This window comes from Homo sapiens, chromosome 6 (genome assembly GCF_000001405.40).
Source record: "Homo sapiens chromosome 6, GRCh38.p14 Primary Assembly".
Taxonomy (NCBI): domain Eukaryota; kingdom Metazoa; phylum Chordata; class Mammalia; order Primates; family Hominidae; genus Homo; species Homo sapiens.
Genome location: NC_000006.12, coordinates 43881284 through 43900293, shown reverse-complemented (window position 1 = coordinate 43900293; position 19010 = coordinate 43881284). Strand labels below are relative to the sequence as shown.

The window sequence follows — 19010 nt, the reverse complement described above, 5'->3', positions numbered from 1 at the left end:
ATGCTCCTGCTCCTGGGACATGGACCCCAGACTCGCCCCCTTCGCCCTCTTCTCTTCTAATCTGGGCTTTCTCGGTCCCCAGGAGCACTTGGTAGACTCAAGGTTGGAAATTGTGCCCTAAACCGTGCCAGACCCTGGCTTTCTCCAAAGGTGGAAAATGGGAGCCCTACTATTTGCCGGAGTGTGGTTGCTATGCCTTGGGTACTGGCGCCAGACTGTCTGAGTTCCAATCTTACCATCCCCATTCAGGCAAGTTACCTAACCTTTCTGGGCCTCTATTTCCTCATCTATAAAATGGGATGAAAGTTATAATACCTACCTGCCAGGATTGTTGAGATGATTAATGCAATAATTTACATGAAGCATTTTGCACAGTGGCTGGCACATAGTAAGAACTCAATAAATGTTCACTACTATAATTATAATTTAAAGGAGTTAAAAATATTTACAAAGCCATCTTTCATTAAACCTAGGACTGTCTACTGGCCTTACCCTCCCTGGAGACCCCCTGCTCCCCTCTCACCTTGATCTCCTGCTCTGAACCAGATGAGTTACTTTTCACTCACCATTCAATCATTCATTCATTTGTTCATTCCCCCAACACATATTGCACACTTATTCGTGTGGGCACTGGGGATCCATCATTGACACAGTCAGACCGTGCCTCCAAACACTGCCCTCAACCCTTCTCTAAGGGACACGGGACCCCAGCGGCCTTATTATGAGAGAGAAGGTGTGGTCTACAGAACCCACAGCCATTCCGGGAGCTGAAAGTCAGAGTAATAAGCCAAGCTACCAACACCTGACAAGGGCTGAGAGAGGAAGAACATGTTTTGGAGGGAAAGGTGGCCAATCTGTAAGTATTTCCAGAGCATCAGTAATTACCCATGTGTTCTAGTGTCAAGGCACAAGTAAGACATGTTTGCTATTTTGGTGTGAAAAAGGTACAATGGACTTGAGTTTTTCAGACGGTGCAAAGGGCCCTGGACCATCCACATATGTTCTGGTTATCTAGCGCACAACAATTATTGATTTGATCACAATCCTGTAGTTTGGACAGGGTGTGACAAGAACAGCTTGTCTCCGTTTCCCAAGGCCTCAGATGGGAGGATCCACTTCCAAAATGGTTTCATTCACGTTCTGGCTATTGGCTGGAGCTGAAGCCAGGGCCTCAGTTCTCCTCCACATGGCCTCTCCTTGTGCCTAGGTTGGGCTTCTCAAGATTGACACTTGAGTTTAGAGTAGGAACATCCCGAAAGTGAGTATTCCATGCGGTAAAGCCCCACTGTGCAAGTGCTTACCAAATCCCTGCTGGTATCATGCTTGCTCATGTCCCATTGGCCCAAGAAAGTCACATGGCCAAGTCCAGAGTTACTGTGGGAGGGAAGTACACAAGGGTGTGAATATTGGGAGGGATGATCTATTGGGAACCACCAAAGTCTACCAAAATAGGGGTGTCCCCAGCCCCCCCACCAATAACCAGACATATCCATATAGGCCCAGGTATGGCCATTCCATCGAGAGACATACCGTGATGGGTATGTAGAGTCAAGCTGCTGGGACAAATCAACCCTAAAATACAGAAGCTTAAACAGGATAGAAGTCACTCTCTCACACACATAAAGATTCAAGTAGGTAGTCCAGGGATGATACAGTGACTTAATGGTGTTGGGGATCCAGGTTCCTTCAATCTTGTTGCCCTGCCTTCCTCAATGTGCAGTTTTCATCATGTAGTCCAAAATGACTGCTACAGCTCCTGCCATCACATTTGCATTCCAGCCAGAGGGAAGAGGGAAAGATGAAAGGGAATGCTCCCTCCTTGCCATCCCATTGGCCAGGATCTAGTCACAAGCTAGATCTAAATACAAGGGAAGCAGGAAAATATAGTCCTTAGTGGACAGCTTTGTGTCCAACTAAAACTTTCATTCATATATTAATAGAAGAGGAGAAGAACAGATACAAAGCAACAAATGATGGTCTCAGCCACAGGAAACAAATGTCCAACCCCAGGATATTTTGTCTGCTAATCTTGAGAGTTAGGAGGGACCATATTTCTCACATCAAGAGTAAAGATTTTTAAAGCAGTGTGAAACTGTGGCTCATGATATGAGGAGATGGGGCCCTGGTGAGTGATAATTGGCCCGTGCTTTGCACAGTCAGGAGCTAGGGAGCCAGCTTCCTTCCTAGGGAGCCAGCAGAGAGGAGCACTATTTCCCACCTCTTCTATCAGTCTCATTGGCAGCTCCCATGGGCAGCTCCTGATTATCTCTAGGGCCTGGCAGAGAAGGGTCCCCTGAGAAGCCACCCACAGTTCCAAAGAAGAGTCCATGAACTAACCACCATGACCCAAAACACTAGTCATTTCCTGGCTCCCAGGGGCTGTGATGGAGCTCTGGATTTCAGAGGCCAAGGTCATGGATGGGATCCCACAAGTCAACCTGAATCCCTGGCTTCAGAGAGCACCACTCACTACCCCTCTCTCCCCAGCCCCCACAACTGGGAACAGCTGGCCCCTGAGCGGGTAGCTCAGTGCAAAGCTATCTGGCTGCTGAATGAAGGCTGACCTCATAGCTGCCTGCCATCCCTGCCCATAGGAGCTTTTCCTGCCTCAGTTCTGGCTGCCCTAAACACCTGTCTCTCCCTGGGCCCAGAGCCTTCACTGTCTCTGTCAGCTGCATAGGACTTTGTAGCATGTCACCTCCTGGACTTCACATTCCTTCATGGAAGGCTCCAAACTTCAGTGCTAAAGTAATGGGCACTTTGTTACTTATGGGGTCTAGGGATAGAAGATGGGAGAGGATCTTTAGCCTTCTATAAGTAAGGGGACGACACATTTTCACAAAGAGAGATGTAGGTATAGAAGTTTTGTTTCTGGGGACTTGGAAGCAAAGGTGTGCACACAGTCAGCCCAGAATTGGGACAACAAAAAAGCCTCAGACCAACAAAGACATGGGATGCAGCTCAAGAATGAGTCCCACAATATGAGCAGCAAATCAGGGTCCCTGAAAACTCTTCTAGGTTGATTCATTCATTCAGAAGGGGCCAGGCAGGAGAGGGCAAACTCAGAGATTCTCTGGCTGGAGAAGTCGCTGCTAATGACTGTCTAGTTCAAGCAACATGCCAGGTTGTGATGGAGAAGAAGCAGGCTCTTAGAAACACTGATTAGGAAGCCCGTCAAAGCCTGCTAGGCATTAGGGACAAAGAAAAAGCCATTTAGTGAGACATCATCCTCACTCCGCCTGCAGCCCCTCTCCGCATACTGTTGTTCTGTCTGGCATTAATATCTGTAAGATATACAGCATGACCAAGATGGGCAAAGAGGCAGACAATGCACACATAAAGAAAGGAACACAGAAACACATTCAGCCTCACAAATAATCAAAGAAAGGCAAATGCAAATAGGCGGCGCTTGATCTTAGCCAAAAGGCTGAGACACAATGAAATGCTAAGAAGTTAGATTTATACCAGTTACATTACTTTTTAATATTTTCCAGCAAAGTCCAATGCTGGCACATCAAAACAGTTCCTCCACCGGCCCTCTTGGCCCAGCATCCTCTTCTGGCATTCCTTGCCCGACCTCATCCCCTATCACAGCTGATTGGGCCTGGACTTCTAGGGTTCCAAGACATAGGAGGGGCTGAGCCAATCAGATTCTCCCTCTTCAAAATTTGAACTCAGAGACCCAGAAATGATGGGCTGGCCTGTTGTGGGTGGATGTGGCATCTCCATATTCCCGGGGAGACTGGTATAGGTCGTGAGCACATGTTTAAAGAGAGAGAGAGGTCAGTCACGTGGGACTTGTTCCCATCAGTTACTGACTGTGCATCTTTGAACAAGTGACTTAGTTTTTCCATATTTTAGTTTCTTCATCAGTAAAATGGTGATAATTATAATTCCTACCCCAGAGGCTAGTTGTGAAAATTAAGATAATCAATGTGAGCAATTGGCATGGTGCCTAGGACAAAGCAAGCCCTCAGAAAATGTGAGCAGTTATATGCTCCGAACTGATAGCTCTGCTAGGTCAAAAATAAATAAAGATAGAGAAAGAGAGATGGAGCAGAGAAAGCAGAGAAGCTGAAACAAAGCAGACCCCTGGGAGCTTGAGGCAGCTGTTTGAGCTCTGGTTGGCTCTCAGTTCCGATTTCCCTGAAGCCTGACTGTACTTGGCTCCCAGTGTGGATGTATCCTCACATTAAACCCTCCTTCATTTACTTTTGGAAAGCAACTTGGCAAACCACATCAAACAGCATAAAAACAGCCTTACCCCCCGACCTGGCCACTTATCTTACAGAAATAATTAATAAGAAGGAAAAAGCCACATGCACAAAGATGTCCATGACCGCCTTATTTATAATAATGACAAACTGGAAGTCATCAAAAGCCCAACAACCAGGGAATAGAAAAGTCTTGGATGGAATACTATGCAGCCATTAAGAATGACAAACATGAAGACCACATAGCAACATAAAAATGTTTATAAAATAAGTTTAAAAGAACAGAACACAAAATTGTGACAGATTTAGATTACGTTTGGTTAAAAAAACAAAACAAAAAAAAAACCAGTGTGTGTTGGCAGGGGGTGGGGTGCTGGCTAGGATTGCTGAAAATGACTAAAACAAGCTTATTCTTGGGCTGTCTTCCCTACCAGGCTCTCTAGAGGAAGGGGATCCCCTTCCCAGGCACCCCAGTCCCAGAAAGGAGAAGGATAAATGCTCTTCAGACTCCCTGTCCCCACACCCCCCTCCTTGACAGCCCCAACTCACCCTCTCTGGGGAGAGGATGCTCAGGCTTGGGCTGCTGGTATTTTTAGCCAGACCTCTTGCAATCCAGTGTTCTTGGGTAAAAATAGCTGGGGTGGAGGGCACAGCACTAACTTTGCTGCTTTCTGCCCCCGCCCTCTGGACCCAGGCGCCTCCTGGTCTTGGAGCCACAGCTTTCCGCTATTTGACTCTGGCTCTATCCCATCTCCAAGGCCTCGGTGGCCAGCAAGGAATGTTCTGGTCTGGTTCATCTTGGAGCCTTGGAGCTCATGGGGACCAAGCATTCCATTTTATAGATAAGGAAACTGAGGCTCTGGCAGAAGAAACACATCAAGAAGTGGCCAGGCACAGTGGCTCACACCTGTAATCCCAGCACTTTGGGAGGCCGAGACGGGCGGATCACAAGGTCAGGAGATCAAGACCATCCTGGCTAACATGGTGAAACCCCATCTCTACTAAAAATACAAAAAAATTAGCCGGGCGTGGTGGCGGGCGCCTGTAGTCCCAGCTACTCAGGAGGCTGAGGCAGGAGAATGGCGTGAACCCAGGAGGCGGAGCTTGCAGTGAGCTGAGATCTCGCCACTGCACTCCAGCCTGGGTGACAGAGCAAGACTCTGTCTCAAAAAAAAAAAAAAAAAAGAAGTAGGTGGCCAAAGTAGGCTCCTCCTCACCCACACCCCTCCTTCTAGCCCCACTCTTCCCTGGCCTGACCCCTCTCCCTCCTCTCACTCACAGGAGGGAAGAAGGTCCAAGCGGTAGCTTCAGCACATCAGCAGGGGGCGGGATGGGGAGCACTGGACTGGAGATGTGCATTCGACTCTTAGCCCTATCATTTGTCAGCTGTGGGGTTTGGGGCAGGTCACTTTCCACCCTGAACTGCAATTTCTACATCCGTGAAATGAAGGAGCTGGACAAGACCAGCTCCAGTGACTTTTTGAATCAATGAGCTATATCCTCCAACCCAGGCTGGAGGCCAGACTTGCCAGCTTTTCTCACCTTTACCATATCAGTCCCACCATCCTCCCGGGAACCTGCCAGAAGCTGTGAATTCTGCTACCCAAGTACATAGTCCACCTCAAGGATTATCTGTGGCTGACACTGCCTCTCAGTCAAGCTTCCCTCAGCTCCAGGCATGCATCTGAGCACCCTCCATCGGTTGGGGTACAACCTTAAGGCATGCATACTAATTTTAACACTAGCTGAAGCCAATCTAATTAGGGAGGTAACTATGCGGGCAAAAATAAATCCTATAAGTGTAGTTTAAGGCAAAATACATAAGACTTGAAGCCCATTGCCTGCTAGAAGCCTGGTGCTCCCTGCCACTCCTGCAGAGCATAAACAGTTATCCTGACAAGAAAGAACCTGAATGCACCCACTACTCCAGAGACTATTCCAATTTTATGTGCCTTCCCTGTGGCCCAATTCTGTTCCCCTCCTGGACATAGTGTATACACCTGCCCATAGCATATATGGATGTCATGTATGGCCTTGGACCAGTGATTTCAGTTCACAGGCCTCATCTCCTGATTCAGCTGGAAGCCCTGTCTCCTCCCCAGCTCACAACCCATATAGGAGGGCAAAAAGTTAATCTCAGGTGAGAAATCACAATTCCTGGAACTGAGAGAGAAGCTGAGCCTATGGGACTGGATTGGCAAACAAGCCACTTCCCCCTGGGCCCAGCATTCTGGTTCTTCTGGGACACGTATGTGAATGTGTGTGTCTGGAGCCCACATGTGCCACAGAAGAGTCCCATGACTCCTCTGTGTTCTCGGTGTGGGGACCCAAACCCTCGGAGGTCTGTGATGATAGTAAGGACAGCCCTTGAACTCTTTCCCATATTTCAAACATTTACCCGGAAAACCTACCTGTTCCCTCATTTAGTTGCAGCCTCTAACTCAAATGTCAAACCTCTGGCCTTAGCTGGTATTTTCTCAGTGCAATACACTGGAAACACTGATTATCTCAGGAACAGTCATCCCTCATTAATAAAATGGGGAAATAGATCAGTGCTTAATAAACGTGGGGTATTTGGTAGACAAAACACAGAACTCAGGCAAGGACACTAATCCTGGAAGTCCTGGGGCTGAGTGGGGTGGAAGCCCCAGACCAAGGACTCTGGAGGATTCTGACTCAGAACTCAGTCTTGGAAGCTGAGGTGCCTGAACAGAGGTCCGCACCTTGCCGTCAGTCTGGAGACCACATGAGACACTCTTTGTTGTCTAAAACAAAGGCGACGCTGGGCCTGGGTGGCCTATGGGGAGCTCCCATGGAACCAGCTGCTGTCCTTGCCTTTTGCTGCTCTCCATTCCTGGAAGCCAAAGGCAGAGCCATGCACTCAGCCCGGTATGAAAATCAGGGAGAGAAATAGATAGCAGTGTCCTGATCCAGCCCCTCTCTCTGCCTCACGTCACCTGCGAGCAGGACCAATCGCCTGTCCCCTGGTCAGGGCCATGAGGGTACATCTGGAATTCCTATAGCATGAGTTCTAACCCAGAAAATTGACTGGAAGCCCCCACGCCCACCCCAGCATAGCCCTGGATCTTCTGAACGTTCTCTGAGAGCCAGCTGTCCCCCAGATATGCGTCTACCACGTGGAGGCTGGGAGGGTAGTCCAGTCACTACGGTTTGGAAGAAAAAGTCTAGAATCTTAGGCTTTAATCTGGACCTGGTCTCTAATAACCTGTGTTTCTGTTACGCTCTGCCTCAATTTCCCCATCTGTAAAATGAAAATGACAGACTGACTCCTGGGCTTCTTACCAGTCTCACTTGCTAACTGATCTTGGACAAGTTACTTGACCTCTTTGAAACTCAAGTTTCTTTGACTATAAAATGGGGATGTGAATCTATGCCCTGCCTTCCTCACTGGGCAGGGTGAGGAGCAAATGCTAGGGTGTCTGCTAAAGTGGTTTGAAATCAGCGGCTCCTCATGACTACAGGAGAGTATTATTATGATCAAGGACATCTGGTTCACCCCACCTGGGCCAGGCCCTGGGGCCAAAAGAGAAAACAAAGATGTGATCTTTCCCTTAGCCACCTTCTGGTCTGCTGGGGCCATGGAAATGACCAGCACCCCATTCCGACAAGGCGGGAGAGCTGAACCCATAGGAGCCGAAAAGATTCAGTAATGGGAGAGAAACCTGACTACTGTAGGAGGCTTCCTGGAGGGATGAATCAACACAGGGAAATGAGGCTTTTTTTCTTTTCTTCTTTTTTTTTTTTTTTTTGAGACAAGAGTTTCACAATTGTCACCCAGGCTGGAGTGCAATGGCACGATCTCGGCTTACTGCAACCTCCACCTCCCATGTTCAAGTGATTCTCCTGCCTCAGCCTCCCGAGTAGCTGGAATTACAGGCGCCTGCCACCACGCCCGGCTAATTTTTTTGTATTTTTAGTAGAGACAGGGTTTCACTATGTTGGCCAGGCTGGTCTCGAACTCCTGACCTCGTGGTCTGCCCGCCTCAGCCTCCCAGTGTTGGGATTACAGGCGTGAGCCACCGCGCCTAGCCCAGAAGGCTTTTTAAAGCAAGCCCCATGGGGTCACTTAGAGAGGGCACCAGCTGCTCCTGACCCACACCAAACCCCCTGTCTCTTTACAGGGCTTTTTCATTAGAACACGTCCTCTCATTTGATATTGAAGATAGCCCAGTTAGTCATTTAGTCGGCAGAGGAGTCCCCCAGCCAAGAAGGCGCAGCAGTGGGTTCCGGACAGGGGCTTTTCCCTGAAATGCAGGTTCAAGAGGCCAGGCGCGGCCCCTCTCAGCACCCCCTCCGCCATGCCTGCCACCCTCCCCTTTTCTCTCCTCGCCCCTCCCCTGCTCCTCTACCTGGAGGAAACACAAATGCAGATGGCTCTTTTGATGTCTCTGGGGATCAAAGGTTTGGCTTTGGAAGAAAGATGTGCTGCTTGAAAGCCACCCAGAGCCTGGTCTGCACAAAAGCCCTTTCCCGTGAGCCCCTCCCGCCCGGCCCTGGGCGCCCGCACCTGACTGGCCTCCTGCCGCCCCCCCCACCCCAGCCTCCCCCCACCATGCGCACACAGCACACAGCAGGGCCGGCGCTCACGCTCACCTGAAGCACGTTCCTCCTCTCTTTTGTTGGATGATTTGTCTGTGAAACATGTTGTCCCCGCTGGGCCAGGCACTGCTATGTCTCAGAACAATGAGAGAGAGAGAAAGACGAAGAAAGAGAGAAAATGACAGAGGCAGCGCGTGAGATGGAGAAACGCTGGAAGAAAGAGAAACAGGTGGACAGAGGGAGAGAGGATGAGCAGACAGGGGACACTCACAGGCGCACAGAGGAGACGCAGGAGGAAAACCCAGCCTTAAGAGGAGCAGAGAAGCAGAAAAGGGAACAGGCAAAGACAAGACGGTGAAGAGGAGATGGATGAGGCATCAAAGGGATGGAGATGTTAAAAGATAGGCCAGAAATGAAGAGGGAAGAATGAGATGGGAAAAGAGGGAAACAGCTGTAGAGACTAGAAAGGAAGGCTTCCTGAGCTAGGTGCACGCAGGGAAGCTGAGCCTCTAGTCGGGGGCGGGCAGGGGGTGGTTCCTGCCATGGCTCTGGGTACCCCTACCCTGCCACTGACAGAGTCCCGGGGGTGGGACCCAGACTCCCCACAGCCCACTCCCTCACTGCTAGCTCCCCCCACCACGAGGTTCTCTCCTCCCGCTCTGAGACCCCACGCCTCCCAACCCAGATGAGACTGCCAGGTGGCCTCCAGACAACGTGGCTGGACAGGGAGGGCCTGGAGTTAGCAGACCTGGAGGAGGGAAGGATCCATGGCAGCTTGGTCAGGAATCCCTGTGTCTCTCTCCACAGAGGAGTGAAGTCTGTGCCCTTCCCCTCCATTAGCCCTGAAAACCCTCCGGGCTGGAAACCAGGGGAATGGGGGCAGGGCAGGAAGGCCCGTTCCTTCCATGCAAGCTCTCTAAGGCACCTTCCTGCTACTGTGTCCTGAGACATCACAACCAATTTCTTCCACCGACCCCCACCTACCTCTTGCCTGGCCCTTCACTGTCTCTAGGGTGGAAAGACCTAGACTTCCTGAAGCCGGGGCCCCTGTGTCCTCTGTCTCCACCCTCTCACCGACTGGCTAGGTGGCCTTCAGCCCATCATTTCTTCCCTCTGAGCCTCGATTTCCTTATCTGTGAAATGGGAAATAAGCACAGTGCCTGCCCCAGAGGCTGGTGTGAGGGTTCAATAAGATTAAGGTGGCCATGTGCCTAACACAGCGCCTGATATGGGCAAAGGAGCAGCTGAGGAGGTCCCCGTCCCAGCCATGGCCATGGCCATATCCACAGCAGTGGTAGTGTCAATGGCTGGCGTGGGATGAGAATTCTGGCCTTGCCCAACTCACGGGGACAGTATGAGGCTTATAAAAGCTAAAGGATGGTAATCCCAGCACTTTGGGAGCCTGAGGCGGGTGGATCGCCTGAGGTCAGGAGTTCGAGACCAGCCTGGCCAACATGGTGAAAACCCGTCTCTACTAAAAATACAAAAAATTACCCGGGCATGGTGGTGCACGCCTGTAATCCTAGCTACTCAGGAGGCTGAGGCAGGAGAATCGCTTGAACCCAGGGGGCAGAGGTTGCAGCGAGCCTCCTGAGATCACTCCACTGCACTCCAGCCTGGACGACAGAGTGAGACTCTGTCTCAAAACAAAACAAAACAAAACAACAACAAAGCTAAAGGATGGGAAAGGCATCCCCGCCAGCAATGCTGAGGCTCAATGCGGACTCCTGCAGCCAGGCCCAGCTGGAGCCCTAGCCATCAGGGCGGCTTCTCCACCAGACACACCAGGCTCAGCCCCAGCCCATGGTACTCCTAGGAGCCCACAAAGTATTCTGAGTTGTTTTAAAATCAGAGGGAAGAAATGATCTTCTAAGTCAACAGAAATGTTTTCATATATAATGTGAATATATTTACCTTTATCCCAACACAACTGTAAAATGTAACTTTTTACTTTTTTAATGGAAAAAGGGGTCCATGACAACAAAAAATGCTTATGGCCCACCAAGTCCTAATGTGGTCCTGTCAGCCACTTCTGCTGGCCAGGGAGGAGCAGGACAAAATGCACTCTTGGTGGCTTTAATAGACACAGCCCTGACCAGAGGGGTGTAAAGCCATCCTGGGATGTGGGGCTGGGGGGTGGCAGGAAGGAGAGACATGGGTGATGGCAGCAGAGACACAACAAATAAGAGATTTTGAGGCCCTGCCCTTGGGTAGGCCTGAGGCCAAAGGGCACATAGTGCCATACCTTAGAGACCCCTAATTTGAGAGAGAAACATATTCTCTCCTTTGGGGAGCCCCTAATCTGAGGCGGGGGGTGCAGCCTGTCCTGAGGGAACCCCAGTCTGAGAGTGGAACACAGCCCTGCTTTCAGGGACTCCCAGTCTGAGAGAGAGAGACATAGCCCTGCTTCTGTGAGCCCACATCTCCAAGAAAAGACAAAATATAAAACTAAAACAAAGCAAGCTACTAGTGGTGGGAGGGTGGAAGACATCAACGCTGTAGTGTAAATAGCTGTATGTCCAACAGAGAAACCTAGAGAGAGTTCCTTCATCGCTGGCGGTGAGAGGGAGGCATCTCAGCAGAGATGGAGCCCCTGGCCATGGGCAGGAAGAGACGTGGGGACAAGCAGCAGGCAGGGACATGTGGCAGAAGGGGATCCTTGCTCTGCCATCAGGGCAAGGGTTTGAATGAAGAAGAGAGGATGGTGGATCTGGGCATGGTGGGGTCTTGATGCCCATTCCTGCCCCTGTATGCCATGCCCATACCTGTGAACTCCAAAGACCACCACTGTCCCTGCGGCTTCTCTGTCAGAGCCGCACAGGGACACAAGAGTCACTCCTGGTGCGGTCAGGTAACCGCACGCCTCAGGTGCCCCCCAGTCAGGCACCCTGCAGAATTAAATTACCGTATTGGAAATAGCAAAGTAAACACCAATAGGTAAAGTGCAAATTAAAGCCGTTCCTCCCAGATACCTTATTTTTAGACCTAAGCTCAGCAGCCGCGCCCTCCTGGGCAAGAGCCACAGGAGCAGAGCAGGGCACCTGCCCTGTGCCTGCCTGTGCCAAGGACACTGGGCTTCTTTCTGGCAGGAGTAGGGGCAAGGACCCGCCTGCAGCGTGGCCACCCCCAGCATCTGGCCTCTCAGTAGGGCAAGGCGGGGACCATCCGTGCAACCCAGGCTTCAACTGCACAAGAGCCTTGGGGCCAGTGAAGGTTTGGCTTGGTATGAGGGAAGGTGTCTATAAGGAGTGGGGATAGTGGGAGGGGACCAGGTAGAGCTAGAAATTGGTACAATGCAACTGGTGTTGGGATTGAGATACTGCAATGGGGCCGGGCGCGGTGGCTCATGCCTGTAATCCCAGCACTGTGGGAGGCGGAAGTGGGCAGATCACTTGAGGTCAGGAGTTGGAGACACTACAGTGATAACAAGAGCTTACCATTGTCTAGCAACTCCTCTTCCACGTGCTCCCAGGCTTAGCTTACTTCAGCTTCACAAGGGGCCCTAGAATCATCTCCGTTTTACAGATAGGGACACTGAGGCACAGAGTAGTTTTGAAACTACACTGCTACTAAGTATCCTGTCAGGGATTTGAACCCCACAGTCTCTCCTCTTCACCATCACACTCTGCCCCTCCAGAGGCTTCTCCTGGCGGCGTAGAAGTCTGACTGAGTGGCCCTGTGCCTGCTCGTCTGGCACTTTCTCACCTCCAGTGGTTTCCCACCCACACGCGGGGGAAGCCAGCCTTCACGTAGGGAAGGACCCAGCAGCAGGCCGGTGGACCAGAGAGAGAACCCCCTCAGGGGACGGAGTCCACACTCCACAGGCTCACAGCCTTCCCCAGGCCTGACCACTGCCACCCCCAGCCCAGGCTGCACAGCCCACAGCTGCAGGCTGAGGCCATGGGACAGAGCACACCTCTGAGTAAAGCCGGCCTGGCTGGGGCGGATCCTGACCTTGGCCTCGTTGGCATGGTGCTCTAACCACGGAGCACAAGGCCACGGATGGTTAGCCACAGGTTTATTAGCAGAGGGAAGATGCCGGGCCAGGGCCAGGAAACCACACTTTGCCCAATTTGCTCATCCCACCAGACCTGGGAAGGCTGTCACCATCTTGGTGGCAAGGAGCCAGGAACAGAAGCTGTGGGCTTGGCAAGAGGGCAGATGGGAAGGAGAAATGGCCACATCTTGTAAGGAAGAAAAAAGGCTCTCCAAAGCCTCATGCTCTCGGCCAATCTGTGGCATGTCCGAGAGAAGTTTCCAATTGGAAGCCAAGGGACACCAATGGCCTTACCCTTCACAAATATCCCCTGCCACAGGGCAAACACCACACACTAAAAATAGCCTCTGTCCCGAATGGGTTGACTGGAAGTGCTGACCAGAGGGCAGGGAGGCCCAGGGTCTGGGCTCAGCCTGGCTCCTGCTGGGCAAACACCTGTAAGGGTCCTCACCTCCATTGCTGGGAGGGCCAGGGGTGTCCCTTACCTACTTGGTGAGGGGTGTGGGGAGGAGACTCAAGCAGTTAATGATCAGAGGGCCTGAGTTCTATCATCCCCAGCTGTGCAACCTCAGAGAGGCCACTTACTCCCATTAGGGCTCAACTTCTCCCTCTGCACAGTGGGGACAGCAGTCCTGCCTGGTCAGAGAACAGGAACCGTGTAAAGAATGCCACAGTCGCCACCTTGCATCAGAGCCTGCAGAGAGAAGAATGTCCTGTGGAGTCTGCGTGTTTTCTATGGCTCAGCTTGGTGCTAAGCGCTCACCTGTATCTATTCTTTTAACCTCATGATGACCCTATGAGGCAGGTACTAGTACGAGCTCTGTCTTAAGTTGACTGAGGAAACTGAGGCACAAAGAGGTTTGGGTCCCCACTCAAGGACACACCTAATGAGCAGCTGAAGTGGAACTTGAACCCAGGCAGTCTGGCTCCATGGTTTTAACCACACTAGACGCCACATGACAAATGTGTCATCGTAAGAGTGAAAATGGAAAGGGGTGGCATGTGTCATCCCTGCTGCCCCCAGGAACCCAACCATCCTGAAAGATACTCTGTTAGAAGACAGAGTGCAGGATGAAGAGGCAGGCAACCCCTCCTGTCCCCCCATCTCTGCTCCTCCCTGGGGTGGCCAGGCAGAGCTGGGAAAGCCACTGCTGAGACGGCGGGATAACCAACGTGTGAAACGTGCCCAGGTCACAGCACCCACGTGGGGTGGGGGTAGTGGGCTGCCAGCCATGTGGTCCCCAGCCCACACACTGTCTGGCCGCCCAGGGGGTGGGATGGGGGGCCCATAAATAGCAGGTCTCTCACCGGTGTTGGGAATAGAAACCCAATCCAAACAGTGTGGTGAGTCGGGGCTTTCCAGACTGGCCACAACCCCCAGGGGCCTGGAGGCAACTCGAGGGCCCCCTTCTCCTCCCATGTCTCCTAAAGGATCAGGCCATCTTCGGGAGGAAGCCCAGCTGGCCCCAAGCCCCAATCCCAATCCCCAATCCCAGAATCCTTCATAGCTCAGGAAGGAATGCTGAGAGGTGACAGGAATACAACAGGTGATATTTATTGAGCACGTATTAGGTGCCTGGCACTGTTATAAGTGTCTTACATGCATCTTCCCAGTTAAATTCACCACAGTTCTATGAAATAGGCCTACAGTTCTGCCCATTTTACAGAGAAGGAAATCGAGGCTCAGAAGGGCAAAGTCACATGACTGAGGTCACACAGACAGTGGTGGAGGTAGGACTTGAACCCAGGCCCTGGCTGCTGAGTGTGCCTCCCTCTCCTGGGCCTGGGGGACACAGGTCAGTCTCACTAGGTCCTGCCCTTGAGCTTATCTTGGTGTGGGGGAGCCCCAACATCCAAGGAAAATACAATGGCAGCTCGAAGCACATATGCTGAAGGCCCACCAGATGGGGCTGGGGCTTTGAAAATTCTTTGGCGAGTCTGCCACGTGGAACTTGGATCTTATCCCCCAACAGGAGAGTCCAGAGGAGCAAGGGGTCCCAGGAGTCCCCCCTCAAGGCTCACCTGCTGCATGGCCAGCTCAGACCCTCCAAAGCAAGACCTCTGTTCTGGGCCCCATCGGTTCTGCAATAAGGAGTGAAGGGAGTGGGGGCAGGAGTCCCCAGAGCCGACAAGGGGGATGCACTGAATCCGAAGGAGATGAGACCTGCGTGTCCCACCTGCTGCCACCCACTCAGGGGCCCTTCTAGGATTTGGGTCAGAGAGGAAGCTCATGGTCAACTACTGATGCCTTTTTGAGATATGAGCAGGGTCAGATGCCACCTCCTGCTGTACAGACCCCACCAGACTTGCGACTCTGTGTGTTTACCTGTTCCTGGTAGCTGCCCCTCCCTCAGATCCCTCCTCAGGACACTTGTGAGCGCTGATTTGCTGGCCTGGTAAAAGCCTTCATTTCTCTTCTCCTTCCAGGATGTGTTGCCAATGGCCAACAAAGACATGGAGAAACCTGGACAACTGTCTAATGTCTCTGGGTTCTTGGAACGAGGAAGCCTGTATATACAGGGGATGGGGGCAGGTGACAGCGTGTGGTTCTGAGAGCACAAGTACAGGTGGCCCATCGCAGCCCTGGGGAGACATGGGTTGGATGGGGAGAACCAGAGCCCTGCCACAGACCCCAGGCATTTCCAGAGGAGGGGCCCTGGGCAGGCACCAGGCATGGCAGGGAAGAAGGGAGGTCAGCAGCTGGGGCAGGCACCAGGCATGGCAGGGAAGAAGGGAGGTCAGCAGCAGGGGCAGGCAGGGGAGGGAGGCTTTCTCAGAACTGCGTTTGAGGAAGAAGATGAGGCCTGGCAGATCTCCCTCAAACTAAACGCCCAACTCAGCTCCCTCCACCCCGAGGCTGGCTCTCCATTCTGTTGGCCCCAGAAATTGTCTCTCTTCCCCAAGAGGCAATTTAGGGGAGAGAGGAAATTTCTCCCTTTCCCAATCCCACATTCTCAGAAGGAGGGTGAGCAAGGGGAAGGGAGGCAGAGGCCCTGCCTCAGGCTCCAAGTGCCTCTGGCTTTAGTTGTCTGTTGTATGGCCTCCCGGGCCAGGTTGGACCGGTGGTGACATGGAGAGCTGGAAATCACATCCCTCTTCCTGTTCTCTGTGTGCCTGGCACATAGAAGATGCTCAATAAGTATGATCTGAGTGAACAAGTGTTCAGAGGATCCAGTAGGCTGTTTGGAGAAACAGCCAGAGTCTGCCAAGTTCCTCTGGAGTTGAAACTCAGGCCAAGAGAAAAAGGACGTTGCTTCCCCCAGGCTTCAAAGTCAAGAAGAAGGAAGTGAGAGTGAGCCAGCCAAGGATGAAACCCCCCAAAGAAAGAGGCTGCACAGAGAGCCTGAGGCGGCCTTCTCATGGCCAGGCTGAGCTGAACTGGGGCACATGAGGCAGGTGCCTGGGGCCAAACTCTCCTGAAGGTGGCTGTGCTTCTCAGTTCCCTCAGGCTGTGAGAAAAAGCAAGTGTGCACAGAGCCGCAGATCCCAGGGCTCCAGAGGGCCTTGCCAGTCACCCTCCCCCAGCCCCAGGATGCCTGCTGATTAGAGCTTTGGAGCTCAAGTCTTGGCACTGCTCAATCATTCAGCGCATATTTATTGAGCAGCCTGTCACACTGATCTGGGACCTGATCTAGCAACGCACAAGAGGCAAAGTAGCTGCCCTGGTGGGGCTTACCTTTTAATGAAGGGATACAGGTAATACATGCACACACATGCACGCATGCACACACACGCACACACACACACGCTATACAGAGTGAAGAGAACAGAGAGTGAAGAACCAGCTGGGTGGCTCAGGAGGTGACACTCGGCCAGAGACCTGAAGCAAGTAAGGCCAGAGCCACACAGGCATCTGGGGAAGAGCCTTTCAGGCAGACAGCAGCCAACACAAGGGCCTGGAGGCAGGAGCGAGTGTGGGATTTTTTTTTTATATATATACTTTAAGTTCTAGGGTACATGTGCACAACATGCAGGTTTGTTATATATGTATATATGTGCCATGTTGGTGTGCTGCGCCCATTAACTGGTCATTTACATTAGGTATTTCTCCTAATGCTATCCCTCCCCACTCCCCCAACCCCTCGACAGGCCCCGGTGTGTGATGTTCCCCATCCTGTGTCCAAGTGTTCTCATTGTTCAGTACCCACCTATGAATGAGAGCATGTGGTGTTTGGTTTTCTGTCCTTGCAATAGTTTGCTCAGAATGATGGTTTCCAGCTCCATCGATGTCCCTACAAAGGACATGAATTCATCCTTTTTTATGGCTGCATAGTATTCCACATTGTATATGTGCCACATTTTCTTAATCCAGTCTATCATTGATGGACATTTGGATTGGCTCCAAGTCTTTGCTATTGTGAATAGTGCTGCAATAAACATACGTGTGCATGTGTCTTTATGGTAGCATGATTTATAATCCTTTGGGTATATACCCAGTAATAGGATCACTGGGTCAAATGGTATTTCTGTTCTAGATCCTTGAGGAATTGCCACACTGTCTTCCACAATGGTTGAACTTGTTTACAGTCCCACCAACAGTTTAAAAGTGTTCCTATTTCTCCACACCACAATGAGATACCATCTCACACCAGTTAGAATGGCGATCATTAAAAAGTCAGGAAACAATAGGTGCTGGAGAGGATGTGGAGAAAGTGTGGGATGTTTTACAGACAGCAGAGAGGCAGCCTCGGAGCCAGAGTGGGGCTGAGTGAGGAGAGGGTGGCAGGAGACAAGATCAGGGCATGGGAAACCAGATTGGCAAAGGCACGGGGGACTTTGAGAGGCCTTGGGCTTTTACCCGGAGCGAACAGCAGCCACTACAGAGCCTGGAAGGAGGGCAGACCATGTCCCACCAGGCTCACTCTACTGTGCTGGGAGTAGACTGAGGAGGCAAAGATGGAGCAGGAAAACCAGATGGGAACTGTGGGACTTAGGGCCTGAAACTTGGCCTCTCTGAGCTTGAGTCCTCACATGTGAAAAGAAGACCCCTGAGCAGCAGCCTCACAGACTTGTTGAGAGCTTTCAATAAGATGGTTCCTATTAAGGGACCACCTGAAACATGGTGATGACTCAATGCATGGTAGGGGATAACATGTTATTTTTGTTATCCTTAGCACAGTGTCCCCTCCAGAATCACCTCCAAGGGGTGACCTTTCTGCCTCTGCTTGAATTCCCTGGACCATGGGAAGCTCTCCAGGGAGGTCTATGCTTTTTGCAGAAGCCAGTTGTGTGGGGCCTGCAATTTTCTCCAATGTTTTCTCTTATGCCCAGGCAGGAAGTCCCCAAGGGGAACACTAAGGGGCCATAACTAGGGCTTGCTACTTACTCAGGCAGCTGCCGCCAGGCCATGGGTCTCTACTTATGGCCCTGGTCAGAGGCTGACACTGGATCATGGTGACCCAGGGCTCACCTAGAGCAGTACTTCCTCTGCACAGCAGGGTGGATGGCAGAGCCACTCATGGGGGCAGGGAAGAGATGGCAGGTGCAGGGTATCTAGGAAGGGTGAGCTGGGGTGTATGTAGGTGTCATATTTTCACAGCTTCTCTCTCTTTCCTGATGCTAGCATCCTTGGGCAGATCCAGGGAAGTCTGTGCTGGCTGGAGCTGACACTTATTTACCTCTGTGCTTCAGGCAGCCTGAGAAAGCTGGCTCTTCTCACTGGTCCCTTAAATCACAGATAGAGTCACTGTCTGTCTTAGTCAGTTTGTGCTGCTATAACAGATTCCTGAGACTGGGTAATTTATAAAGAAGAATAATTTATTAGCTCACGGTTCTGGAGGCTGGAAGTCCAAGAGTATGGCACTGGCATCTGGCGAGGGCCTTCTTACTACATCATCCCATGGCAAAAGGAAGAAGGGCAAGAGAGGGCAAAAGCAAGAGAAAGCAAAAGGGAGCTGAACTTGCTTTTATAATAAGCCCACTCCCACAATAAGGGACCCACTCCCACAGTAACAACATTAACCCTTTCATGAGGTGGAGCCCTCATGACCTAAGCATCTTCCATTAGCCCCCGCCTCCCAGCACTGTTGCATTAGGGATTAGGTTTGCCATACATGAACCTTGGGGGAACACATTCAAGCCACAGCACTGTCCTATGCAAATATACAAGGCTTTGGGCCTGGCTGGGCCTTCCAGACCCCACAGTGATCCTGGCCGTGGACTGGGAGACGCCTGTGGCTAGAGGAGGAGAGCCTATGACTACCAAGTACCTGCCATGTACCAGGCACGGGGCAGGGGCT

General features: G+C 51.6%; 2 long non-coding RNA genes across 2 annotated transcripts in view, besides 3 other annotated features; both read right to left on the bottom strand.

Moving 5' to 3' along the window:
• Positions 1-9266, bottom strand: part of LINC01512 (long intergenic non-protein coding RNA 1512) — a 47180-nt gene extending 37914 nt beyond the window's left edge. Inside the window, exon 1 of the long non-coding RNA NR_024478.1 lies at positions 8829-9266. This is a non-coding gene — a long non-coding RNA (long intergenic non-protein coding RNA 1512). The remainder of the gene's footprint in view (positions 1-8828) is intronic.
• LOC105375070 (uncharacterized) overlaps positions 1-19010 on the bottom strand; it is a 107357-nt gene that overhangs the window by 4222 nt on the left and 84125 nt on the right. The window lies entirely within an intron of this gene.
• Positions 9846-10807: an enhancer, noted in NCBI's record as "H3K4me1 hESC enhancer chr6:43857224-43858185 (GRCh37/hg19 assembly coordinates)". NCBI's record gives its function as "activates a minimal SCP1, AML or CMV promoter by ChIP-STARR-seq in naive and primed H9 embryonic stem cells {active_cell/tissue: H9 hESC(naive and primed)}" and the evidence as "EXISTENCE:reporter gene assay evidence [ECO:0000049][PMID:30033119]".
• Positions 12263-13163: an enhancer, noted in NCBI's record as "H3K4me1 hESC enhancer chr6:43854868-43855768 (GRCh37/hg19 assembly coordinates)". NCBI's record gives its function as "activates a minimal SCP1, AML or CMV promoter by ChIP-STARR-seq in naive H9 embryonic stem cells {active_cell/tissue: H9 hESC(naive)}" and the evidence as "EXISTENCE:reporter gene assay evidence [ECO:0000049][PMID:30033119]".
• Positions 15906-15985: an enhancer, noted in NCBI's record as "active region_24621". NCBI's record gives its function as "activates an Ori minimal core promoter by ATAC-STARR-seq in GM12878 lymphoblastoid cells {active_cell/tissue: GM12878}" and the evidence as "EXISTENCE:reporter gene assay evidence [ECO:0000049][PMID:35858748]".